The sequence below is a fragment of the Homo sapiens genome, chromosome 2 (assembly GCF_000001405.40).
Source record: "Homo sapiens chromosome 2, GRCh38.p14 Primary Assembly".
NCBI lineage: Eukaryota > Metazoa > Chordata > Mammalia > Primates > Hominidae > Homo > Homo sapiens.
Window position 1 is genome coordinate 121,345,430 of NC_000002.12, and position 12,729 is coordinate 121,358,158.

The following is a 12,729-nucleotide window of genomic DNA, read 5'->3' on the forward strand; positions in this document are numbered from 1 at the left end:
AAAAGTGCCAGACAAAACCAAGGTGTGACTCATGTTCTTTTTGGATGAATTTTCCATTTTATAAATGTAATTCCCTTTGTGAATTGTATCATTGAAGGTCCTCCTGGTCAGCAGGAATCACCTACAAATCCCTGATGGAGGTAGGAGAGCTGGGGGGACTTTTGCTCTGTATCTTTCAGATAATTAGGAAGGGGATCTGATGAGGAGCCTGTGCAGCAGTAGGGCAAGGAGAAGGAACTGGAGAACAGAATAAGGTCACCCCCAAACCATGCACTGCACACCTGCCTCATACACCTCTTCCAGCCTATCTGCTGATTCCTGTTTACAAAAAGAGGACAGTGTCTCCTCTGGACCACCGGTTCTCAACCAGGGGTGATTCTGCCCCCCAGAGGGCATCTGGCCAGGTGTGAGACAGCAGTGATGGGTGCTATTGGCACATGTCGGTATAGACGGTGGTGGTCAGAGATGCTGCTTAAACTTCCTACCACACACAGGGCAGCCCACCTCAACAAGGTGGCCCAGAGTGTCAACAGAGCCAAGGTAGAGAAACTCTGCTCTGAACACCCCAGCCAGAGCTTTGCTTCCCCAGAACTCTGGAGAAACAAGGCTCTGGCTGTTAATGCTCACCAGCTGTATCAAAGCAACAGCTCAATCTGAAATGATGAAATGGGCCCCACTTGCCAATTCCTCCTCTCATAAGAGCAGGCGCTTCTGGTTTCATGTTTTCCACTGGCTTCGTTTGATAGAGTGGTTTGTATAAAAAGGTGGGGATTTTAAACTCCACAGAGATGCGCTTTCTCCACAGGCAGGTCCTGAGGCCCCAGGCCCAGCTGGCCTCCTCTCTGGGAACCAAGGCCTCACCCCTTCACCATGCCTCTCCTGCCACAGCATAAGGCCGGGTTTTTAATCTGCTCTCACCAGCCTAGCATGTCACATTTGAGTTTGTTGTTGTTGTTGTTGTTTTAATTAAAACCAATAAGCAGTCTAGCCACTCTCATTTTCAGTGACATCCATTTTGGTCCATTTTCTTCCCCTGATTCCAGACACCCTTAAAGGAACATTAGAGGCAGCAGTGTGAGTAAGAAGTCTGCCTCCTGGAGTCAGGTCTGTGCCGTGGGGCACGTTAAGGGGGATGACCATGCCCACAGGGATGTTGCCGTAAACATGAGTCAACGCATGCAAAGTGCGTAGGGCTGCCCTGTAGGCTCAAGGTGAGAGCCAGCTGTTGCCACCACTGATGCCCATGAGGGACTCAGCTCTGATTCAGCAACTGCTAAGCAAGCAGGTAAATTTCTTTAGTGTTTCCATGAAAAATCGGATGGTTTCTAATTAAAGTTGTTTTTCTTTTGGAAATAAACCAGCAGCTCAAAATCAGCATTTCATAAACAGGAGTTAAGGCAGACTATGTTGTGTAATGTCAGTCTTACCTTAAACTGATTTCACTGTATAGTTCATTTTTATATTTAGAAAAATCCTCTTGGAGAAATAAGGCCCAGCTAAAACACAATGAACAAAACCTGTCTGGAATCCAGAGCTGCAGTCAAATGGATTTATGACAAGCTGGCAGAGCCCAGGTGTGCGTATCAGCCCAGGTAACACTATACATACCTTGCTCCCTGTGAGCTGTGCAAGGTGAGGTTTCAGGTCTTCTCCGATTACGGAATAAATTGCCACTAAGCAAAACACGCTGGCCTTACGCACACTACTTTCGGTGTTGTCATAACCCTAGAGAGCCAGAAGGGAACACGAAAAGGAAACCAGATCAAAGATTCATTCCATAGCCAACATCTCATCAACGTTTCCACAAATGCCCTCAGAGTTCAACCTTGGACTTGTCAGTAACAACCAGGATAGACCTCAGCCCCGCAATGGAATCCAGACAGCTTTCACCCCAAAGTGGTCACAACTTAGCATCAAGAGAAACTTGGTTTCTGGGGTGCAGAAGCAGGAGGGTGGAGAGTCCCAGACTGGTCTCTGAGTCTGCACAGGTATCACCGTGTAACAAGCTGCCACCCAAGAAACATTGTAGAGGAGAGAGAATGAGAAAAGGAAATGAAGGGGAAAGAGAACTTGGTTTATTCCCATTTCTCCCAAAGGTAAACCAAATTTCCTTGTGAAAATGCCTTTAAAGAAATGAGAACATCATCACTCGCTCTTGTGAGCAAAACCCCTCTACCCTCCAGAGATTGCTGGGGAACGTCTGGTCCCACAGCCTGATGTCCGTGTCCCTTTGAGCTGGGCCTCCATCTATCTGTCGGCCTCATCCTGGCCCACACCCAGCTGGGGCTACCTGCTGCTGTTCTCCAAACAGCCTGGGACTCTTCAGTCTCTGTGCCTTTCCCTTTGTTTGGAATAATCTAGTCCTCAACAATTAAGTGTTTAGTCCCCAAGCCAAGTGCCCAGCAAACAGCAGCATTGATTAAATGTGATGCTAACTCCTCTCTACCTTTCCCCAGTGAAACTCCCTCGCCAAGGGCCAACTTGAAACCACCTCTTCTATGAACCCTCTCTCCCCCACCCCCCACCCCAACCTGGAAACCCCTTCTCTACTGTCATGTAGCCCATGGTGACACCTGTCATTGTCTGTGTGGCTGCAGAGTAGGCTGAAAATCCTCTGAGGCAGTCCACACAGTGGAACGCAGCTGCTTTATGCCAGTCTGTCTCACTTACTGTCTCATGCTTAGAAGAGTTTCAGTAAGTATTTGTGTGCTGCATGAGACCAAGGACCATGGTTTGATTTACACTCCATGGTCCACCTCGCCCAGGGCTGGGGCTACAGCAGGTGTGCAATAAGGGTTTGTTGAAAGAATGGACAAAAAAATGATCAAAGTATGTTTATAGTAAACAGAAAGTTCATTCTGTGAGCTGCCAGGAAAGCATTCTTAGTGCATTCAGGAGAGGGGGTGAGCTGGAAGCCGACAGAGGAGGCTGTGAAGTGTCCCTGCCACACGGCCTCACAGGTCCTGCCTGGTTTTTCCTACCCGTCCCTGCCAGTGAAGGAGGAGCACAAAGCCCTTACATTACTTCAAGTTAGGCAACCCCACACAGGCCGGGGGCAGGCCCCACCAACACGAGGGCCTACCTGCAGCAAGCCTGGGATGATGTCGACAAGGAGCTGCAGCAATGACTCCTTTGCGATCCTCTCGACGACTTTGGTCTGCATCTTGATGGCAGCAAGGTTGATGGGGTAGTCGGCCGTCTGGATGATGGGGCAGAGCACCTTGATGCACTGCTCCGGGTGGATGGAACTGGCCAGTGTGGACGCAGCCTCCTCAGCCGCTCTCACCACCTGAAACACCCAGTTCCCCCAAAGAGTGAGCTCCACATGCCACATGAAGCGAAAGACCAAACATCACTTTTGATTTCAGAGGCCAAAGGACAATGACCTCAATGTCAGACGGCAGCCATTGCTTCGCCTGGCTCAATTGTTAAACACAGAGTGGTCTGCAGGGTGATTTTAAAGGGGAGCGTGGGCCACGGAAAGGCAGGTCTAGGGGATTCTAGGAAAAACCTTAGAAAAGTGGTACTCGGCCGGGCGCGGTGGCTCACACCTGTAATCCCAGAACTTTGGGAGGCCGAGGTGGGCGGATCACGAGGTCAGGAGATCGAGACCATCCTGGCTATCACGGTGAGAACCCATCTCTACTAAAAATACAAAAAATTAGCCGGACGTGTTGGTGGGCACCTGTAGTCCCAGCTACTCGGGAGGCTGAGGCAGGAGAATGGCATGAACCTGGGAGGCGGAGCTTGCAGTGAGCCAAGATCGCGCCACCGCACTCCAGCCTGGGTGACAGTGCAAGACTCTGTCTCAAAAAAAAAAAGAAAAGAAAAGAAAAGAAAAGTGGTACTCCAAGTGCAGCCCCCTATCAGCCCCAGCAGCAGTGCTGGGAACCTGTTAGAAATGCAACTTCTCAGGCCCACCCAGACCTGCTCACTCAGAGATGGGCCCCAACTGGAGGAGGGGGTGCAACGAGCTGTGTTGGTAAGCACCAGGTGATTTCTAGACACACTAAAATTGGAGAACCTCCGCCCTAGAAGACTAGGACCTGAATACAGAAATGCTTCCCAATGGCTTGTGGGACACCTACAACTGGAGCATCTGCAAAGAAGCCTGGAGGAAATCAGAGTGACTTCAATGCTGGCACTTCCTGGAAGAGGCCCACCTGCCAGGCAGTTGAGGCAGTTGGGAAGGCACAGAGAGAAGCCCCTGAAAGGGTTTTCCTGAGGAATCTCTTCTGGAAAGTTGCTTTTCTAGGACTCTGTGCTCACGATGACCCCTTTGCCTTCCATTTTTAGGGAGGTACATGAAATGGCCATCTCATGGTCAAAGGAGCAGCCTCTGACCTCTGGAGGGCCACAAGACCCTTTTGTAATAAAGATGGAAGCAAAATGCAAAACCCAATGAGCAAGAAAGAGGACAGCAGAAGGCCTGGTGGAAAGAGCCTCGGCCTTGGGCTCAGGGAGCAGGTCCCAGTCATGCTAGTCCCAAATGCTAAAACTCCATGTCCTCATCTGTAAAACAGGGACGTCACAGAGATAAATGGTGAGCAGTACTCAAGATATAGTCAGTAAAGGATGCTTACTACTACCAATGGCACAGAGTACACATTATATAAATGACAGATAAAGACAGGCACCAGGCTATACGCACATGGATTTTCTTACAAAGTACAACAGAACTCGAATACTTTTTGCCTACTGCCAGCCCTGACTGGGCTAGTCATTCCATCCAGATTCCTTTTTGCATTATGTTCTGTTACTCAAAATAACTCAGCTCTAACTTCATACAACAAAAAGGTGAAGACTACCAGCCCACAGCTTCAGTCATCCCAGCCCTTGTGAGTGAAGCAAGACAGGCCCATGGAAACAGCATATGGATCATCTGGAAAGCTGCTTCTAGTTATGGGCATGAAGTGGGTGAAGAAGTCTGTACAAGTCAGGGAGTGTGGGAAATGGACAGGAGGCCCACAGAGAGGCCACCTGAGCTGTGTAGCAGACAGGCCCAGGGCTGGGCTCAGAGGCCATATAAACTGCTTGGGGTCACTTTGGGGCCCTCACTGAGGCTCTCCTGGGGCTCTGGGAAGAGACTGTGGCTCCAGAAGACGCTCGGCTTCACCTTCAGCCCAGGGCTACACTGTCCCATGAACAGGGCTCACTTCAGGGAGTGTGCATGAGTCCATGTGTCAGCTCTGCTCTGTGGAATGGTAAAGGGAAATTTTTCCAACACTAGACAGCTGAGTTCATCTCATTAACAATGGACACGTTTGGGGCCAGCCGTGCTGCTGTTAGTGGGTTTTTCACTATGAAGCCCCATATGAGCTTTGGCTACTCACACCCACTACCTGGCACTTACCACTACAAAACACCTGGAAGAAAGTGCATCAAGGGTTAACGCTCTTTCTCTCAGGGCGGTAAGATAATGGATAACTTTGTTTTCCTCTTCATACTTTTTAGATAGATAGAAAAATTGCAATGAACATTAGGCTGGTGCAAAATTAGTTGCAGTTTTTACCATTACAATATAACCTTTGTAGCAAGGAAAATGTATTCCAGAAAATCTACTTGAACTGTCTGAGGCCAGGGAAAACTGGCAGCCCAGCCCTGGCTCAGGGTGGAAGGTGGCAGGGCAGTGCACTTGAGGAGCAGGCCGCACCTCATTCGTCTTCCTGAAGGGAACCCCACCCCAGCATACGGGAGGTGCTCCGTGGTACAGCCAGCGCCATCATCATGACTGTTCCTGCTGACCTCCCACTCTCCATAAAGCCCTTCTGCTGAACTACAAAACTCACTGTCCCTCAGATGTGGCTGACACACACGTCCCAGCCCCTGCCCAGGCCTCCCTATCAGACCAGTGACACTTTTCCCCCAACTTCTGTTCCTCTGTCTGTGACATTCACATGGCACCATATGTAGACGGCTTTGTATTTCTGGTGGCATTTCCATGTGTGTTTCTTCTTATCAAACATCCAGGAACTGAAACATTTCTGTTGTACCTAAGTACCCACTAAGCTGGGCATTTACCAGGAGCTTAGTACTTACTGAGGGACTGAGAATTAATTCTCCTAGCTGTCTGAGAATATGTCCCACTTAAAGAAGCCCTACCTCCCTCAAGTCTTTCTTGTTGGAGGTCTTTTGTACTTTCCCTGGGAGGACCCGCTAACTCCTTGCAGCCCTGAGTAAAGGCTAGGAGTTTCATGAAATAAGATCACCACATCCATCACCACGTAGCCGGCACCCTGGAGTGAACACACTGCAGCCACCTCTGGGGCCTACACTGGGATTATGGATGAATCCCTGGTGGAGCTCCGGATCAGCATGGCTTAAGGGTAAGTACTGTGTACAGGTCAGAACACCCAAGATTCGCCTGTGCTCACTATGTATGTGAAGGTCAGGCTCGAGGACGAAGCACTGTAGAGAGGCAATTTTATTTTAAAAGTCATGTCCAACTCTCAAGCACCTCGTAAGATTCTTTCCTCTCATTTGTGCTCTGTGTGTACGTTTGTTCACCCAGCACTGACCAGGTGCCTCCTGTGTGTCAGAGACTGAGCTCAAAGCTCAGGCCACAGAGCTGAGAAGGACCGGGCCACCCATGCTCTGGTGGTTGAGGGCAGAGTGAGGGTAGTCTGTGCAGAGGGCCAGCATGAGGGTGTGGAGACCCAGGAAGGAGCCAGATGGCAGGGACCTGCTACCTGATGCACTTCTTGTGGGTGGCCAGGATTAGATGGGAGGAGGAAGGAGCATGGATATGTGCAGAAGGCTTCTTTGGTGTTCTGCGGGCCTTCCTCCAGCTCAAGGGCCCTCGGCCATGCACAGCCGGCCTGCCCTGCCTCTGCCTCGTCCGGGCACCTCAGTGAGCAGGCCTTCCCCTTGCCAGCCAAAGCGTCGGACTCAACATGGACGGCATTGACTCCATGCATGCCACCAATGTACAGGAAGGAGCCTATTTGAAGGAAGCCCACTGTGATTTCTTTTTCTTGCCAATTCAAACTCCTGCCAAAGGTAGCTCTTTCCACACAGGTCACCTGAAAGCAGAGTGCTGTTTAGACCCTGGTGTGTACGTGTGGCCTTTCACTTTTTTACCCCGACAAAGGCAGCCTCCAGAGTTAGATGAGCATATTCTCAGCCTCTGAGAGAAGCACAGGAGACAAACCTTAGTTGAATCCTCTGGCAAAAAACTTCCTTGGTCTAAGCTTCCATTTTTTAATAAAAACTCCTAAAATGAGGATTTTATTTTTAATTTTTTGAGACAGAGTCTCACTCTATCATTCAGGCTGGAGTGCAATAGAGTCATCTGGGCTCACTGCAACCTCTGCTTCTGGGTTCAAGCGATTCTCATGCCTCAGCCTCCCAAGTAGCTGGGATTACAGGTGCGTGCCACCACACCCAGCTAATTTTTGTATTTTTAGTAGAGACGGGGTTTCACCACGTTGACCAGGCTGGTCTCAAACTCCTGGCCTCAAGTGATCCACCCACCTCAGCCTCCAAAGTGCTGGGATTACAGAGCCACTGCGACCAGCCTAAAATGAGGATTTTAAAGTATCTACTTTCACAGTTATCTGAATTGAGACAAGATGTAAACCAGCTTGGTATATTTTAGCTACAAAACACATGATGGCTAAGCCATACATGGAGGCTCACACCTGTAACCCCAGCTACTTGGAAGGCTGTGCTGGGTGGATCACTTGAGCCCAGGAATTTGAGACCAGCCCGGGCAACATGGAGAAACCCCATCTCAAACAAAAACAAAACACAAGCTAGGTGTTGGTGGAGGAATGACACCAGAGTGGAGCTCAGCAGCAGAGGCACCACCAGAAGGCACAGCAGCTGAGCCGGGAGCTCCCAAGTTGCTGGGGATCGGGGGTGAAGGGGGCAGAGCTTTGTGACCCCGAGACTCCACAGAGGCCCAGTCATCACACTGAATGTTCTAAGAATGGGTAACACTGGTAAGCCAGCTCCTTCCCTGGGGTCCAGTGCCAACATCATGATGGGTATGCCCTCTCCAATGACCTCTAAGATGCCTGAGGTTCCTCAGCAAGGCCTAGCTCCTTCCTGCCTGTGTGGTGCTTCCTCTCCCTGCCCACACCCTGCCCAGCCACATCTCTATGCCCCTGGCCAAGTCATCCTGAGGACTTACTGCAACACAACTCCCAGGAAGCCTCACCATGTGTATGCTTTATTTTATCACTGCAGGTAAATATTTTGCTGAAATTGTCCCTCCCACTAGACTAAAAGTTCCTTGAAGGCAAGATCCCATCTTAGCTATCTTTCTATTCCCATGACTGGCACAATGTCCAGTATACGCCAGGTGCTCAATAAATAGCTGTTGAACTAATTTCCCCATAGTGTGCGTGTGCACATGCACGCACACACACACACACACAGATAGGGTCTTGCTCTGTTGCCCAGGCTGGAGTGCGATGGTGTGATCATGGCTCACTGCAGCCTCGATCTCCTGGGCTCAAGCGATCCTCCTACCTTAGCCTCCCAAGTAGGTGGGATTACAGGCACACATAATATTTTAAGTTTTTTGTAGGGGTCTCAGTATGTGAGATGGGGTCTCGCTATGTTACCCAAACTGGTTTCAAATGATCTGCCCACCTCAGCCTCCCAAAATGCTGGGATTACAAGCATGAACCACTACACCCAGGCCAGCGTACATATTTTTAATGCTCATGACTCACAAAGTCACATCTGGAGCATGCCACATTGACTTGGATTTACATTTTTCCTAAGGAGCTAGCACAGAAAACTAGGAGCATGGCAGGTTATCTACAAATGATCAACTTGGGCTGTAGAAAAATCTACTGTACCAGGCCCAGAGAGTCCCATTCCAGGTGACACACTGGAAAAGCAACAGACTAGTTCTTTGGAAAAGAGACTTCAGCTCAGGTTTTTCCAGTCACCAATTGTCTGAGGAGGACCGGCATGTTTCTTGGAAGAGCTCTGTCAGGTAATGGGTTACCTCAGACGGGGCGCTTTTCTTCCTCCTCCATTTGTGCAGGTCTCAGAGTCTGTGTGTGTTTGGGAAAGCCAAGCACGTGGCTGTGTACCTATGTGGCTGAGTTACACACAGCTGAGTGGATGGTGAAAAGTGGAAGGAGACAGTCCCTCTCTTATCTAATCTGGCCTAGCAATGAAACCATGCTCAGAAACTGCTGGCTTTCTAGTGCAAGAAATTACTGCCCAAGTATCATAACACACCAGCCTGAAAGCTAAGGAACTTTTAGGCCTCTGTTTTCAAAACCTGGAGAAAGAAACAAAAGGTCAGAAAACACCGGATTCTGTAGCGTATCAAAATTAGAAAGCACTGATGCACAGGAGTCAATATCTGAGGTCCCCTGGGAGGTGGGAAGCAGCTCAGTGGGTGGAAAGAACACGGCTCTGGAGACAGGATTCAAGAGTCAGCAGCATTGCTTTCCAGGCTTGACAGGAGCAAGCTAAGGCCTCCTGGTGCTCTTCGGGGTTGCAACGAGGATTAGTGAGGCCAGGTAACTGATTGCCGGGTTCGTGGTGAGAACTCGTGGTTTTCCTTCTCTCCTCCCCATCTCCTGCACTCTATTGCCCTTCAGGTTAAAGTGAATTATCCTACAGAGAGCTGCTGGGAAAAAAGGCTGTTTCAGATCTGCTGAGCTGAAACCCAAACCCAAGGAGCCCTTCATCTTACAAAAATCCAGGAATTCTGGATGTGGCCTGCATGAAGCATTTGGTGAAATGTATCTATTATTTTATTTTATTTTGAGACAGAGTCTTGCTCTGTTGCCCAGGCTGGAGTGCAGTGGCGCCATCTTGGTGGGTTCAAGCGATTCTCCTGCCTCAGCCTCCGAGTAGCTGGGACTACAGGCGCACACCACCACGCCTAGCTAATTTTTTTGTATTTTTAGTAGAGACAGGGTTTCACCAAGTTGGCCAGGCTGGTCTCAAACTCCTGACCTCAAGTGATCTGCCCACCTCGGCCTCCCAAAGTGTTGGGATTACCGGTGTGAGCCACCACGCCCGGATGATCAAATGTATCTAATGTGGATGAGGGCTTTGGTTCTAAAATGTCTGAAAATAAAATGTCAGAAGCTGCACATTAAGATGGGTAGTTTGAGGCCCTCTTTTTCACTGGGGTTAGAGAAAGTTTCCCAAGACAGACGCTGGTTTTGGCAAGGGAGGTAGGTGTTCTCAACTTCCCTCTATATGCCAAACCCCTGGCTTTGGCAAGCTGCCTGAATCAGGGTGAACTTCAGGTTTTGCCCCTGTGTTCTATGTAACATAAGAAGCAAAGATTATAAATGTAAGCAAACAGAGAGCAAAAGTCAACATGGGCAGCAGAAACAAAGGAAGACAACACCACTTAGTACACAAGGTGGCCAGAAGTGGCAAGGATTTAGAAAGGGGTGAGGGACTATTCAAAGAGGACAGGATCAAAAAGACTTCTGGGTTATAATCTGCCTTGAAGTCATCAAAAACTATTCCAATTCTGCTACAGTCTCATTAGAAACACAGCACTCCTTCACCTTTCAAAGTCAGTGAAGTAATAGTGTCTAGCTAAGAAAAGCGTAATTTTCACATCTAGCTTTTTAAAATTGGATCATTACTCAGAATACTGGTGAATGTTTGCTTAAAGGTTTCTTTTAGCACAAAGTTTTCAAAATTTGGATTGCATGTTTTTTAGGTTCACAAGGTTTGATCTGGCTCTGTCACAGACACACCAGAATAACTGGTTGAGTCAAAAAAAAAAAGCAAAGGTCCAGGAACAACAGTGGCTGGAATCAAAGAACTCTTCATAGCAGCGTCTTGAGCTTAGCTACTCAATCGTGTGGAAGCTAAGGAAGAGTTTAGCGCCACCTTCTGGGAAAGGCCAGAAAGACCTTAAAAAATTGGATTGACCCTGAGTTTAAGTATCCACCAGTAGACTGGGGAAAAACGACCAATGCCCCAGATTGGCACTGACATGGTCCTGGGATTTACAACGGAGTGCCAGCATGGCCCTGAACCTGGGACGAGAGTCCTCACTTAGCTAGGCTCAGTACCAGAGGGAGGGGAGAAGAAAAGTTCCAGGCTATAAGTCTGGAGACCTGAGTTTTGGCTCTGGTTCTGGCATCAACTAGCCAAGCGAGCTTGGGGTAAATTTCTTCACTTTCTATGCCTCGGTTTTCCTCATCAGTAAAACGAAAGGGAGAATCTGAATCAATTATTTTAAAAGTATTTCAGATTATAAAATCTTATCATCCAACTCTACCTGATGAGTCTTTTCCCCTGAAAAATGTGCATGCACAAAATTCCAGGAAGCTTTGAAGATCTTGAGAAGTAGTGTCTGTATGAAATGACCTCTAACAAGACAGTCATCACATCCTTGCCTGGAAAAGGAGATTCAGGGCAACACAATGGATATCTTCAAATGTGGTCAGGTTCTTAGGTGGGAGATTTATTCTGTTCTACTCTAAGGGGTAGAACTAGGGCCAACAGGGACAAATGATGAGAAGGAGTGGAAAGAGGGGCTGGGAGCCCAGGAGGTGGTGTGTCCTGCTGTCCTGGAGATGCTGCAGAGGCTGGGCTGGCCTCTCAGGAGGTGCTCAGCATCAGATGGGAAGCTGGGCAGCACGTTTAAGGCTTCTCTTTGGCATTCTAATTCCGGTATCCATCTCTAAAAACCCATGGCATTTCCTAGCCTAACGCTGACAATGTACCGGCTACCCCAGCACAAATATAGACGGATTCCAAACAAAGCAGTAGTCAAAAAATACAAGTCGTATTTTTGACTGGTGTTTTAGAGTTTACTCAATTGCATTTAATAGCTTCTTCGGTGTATTTAGAGAAATGCAGTTATATCTGCTTTATGTAGAATTTTAAAAACTTGACAACAATTCTATTCAAAATCAGTCTACTTTCTTCAATGGAAGAGTATAAAAAGGATACTATCTTCAATTTTCAACAATGTCAACCACCTTACCTCACTTGACTTTAATGCTAGCCTCTCAGCGCAGGGTATAAAACACCTGCCCCCCACCTCCCACCCAGCATACAAGTGCTTTAGATATCCAGAGTGTCTATGACTTGTCCACAATCACAGCCCCCGAGCTGGCAAAAGCAGCATGTGAACCCAGGCCTTCAAACCCCAAACTCAAAGGTTTTGACATTAAGTTATGGCTCTTTCTGAAGCTACAAGAACTAAAGGGCAGGTGTCACATCTGGCTCCTTGAGAGTCAGTTCATCAGCGAGGCAGAACTACTCCCCTACCTATGAATAACAGCAGGAGCAGCCGCCACCACAGCTGCCACTCAGAAATAGACACTGTGCCTGGCACTTTACAAGCCTGTGAGGTGGGCTATGTTTCTCCACTCGACACAGAGAATATGAGGGCTCACAAAATGGTAAGTCTCCTGCCATCTTGGCTCAGCAGGGTTCAACCCAGGAGTGTCTTCCAAGCCCATGCCCCCTCCCTTGGCCACATGGCCTTGGCTCCTAGCTAAAGTTCTCTCCCTATGTGCTCCTTTTCAGCCCATCTCAGGTTCTAACTCCCTAAGGAACTCTTCCTTGACTATTCTAGCCCACTCCTAAACTCCTGGTGTATTTCACTTTGAACCACACGACTCTGCTTTAACCTCAACTAAACCGTAAGGACCTTGAAGACTACAGTACACCACTACCCATCAATCATCAAACATTTATTGGAGTTTGTGCTGTTAGTATGACTGCTGGCTCAGTAACTTGGAATCTCTCAATGAAGCTAAACAGGTTTTGGGG

The 12,729-nt window shown here is 48.5% G+C and overlaps 1 protein-coding gene across 35 annotated transcripts in view, besides 1 other annotated feature; it reads right to left on the bottom strand.

Moving 5' to 3' along the window:
- CLASP1 (cytoplasmic linker associated protein 1) overlaps positions 1–12,729 on the bottom strand; it is a 311,687-nt gene that overhangs the window by 7,654 nt on the left and 291,304 nt on the right. For all 35 annotated transcript variants that reach the window (XM_047443792.1, XM_047443782.1, XM_006712383.2 and 32 more), the window contains 2 exons: positions 3,083–3,289; positions 1,609–1,725 (listed from right to left, as the gene is read on the bottom strand). In XM_047443792.1, the coding sequence (XP_047299748.1) occupies positions 1,609–1,725; positions 3,083–3,289 (324 nt within the window). The remainder of the gene's footprint in view (positions 1–1,608; positions 1,726–3,082; positions 3,290–12,729) is intronic.
- Positions 6,693–6,865: a silencer, noted in NCBI's record as "fragment chr2:122109698-122109870 (GRCh37/hg19 assembly coordinates)". NCBI's record gives its function as "represses an EF-1alpha promoter that drives an FKBP-Casp9 reporter gene in an ReSE screen in HepG2 liver carcinoma cells {active_cell/tissue: HepG2}" and the evidence as "EXISTENCE:reporter gene assay evidence [ECO:0000049][PMID:32094911]".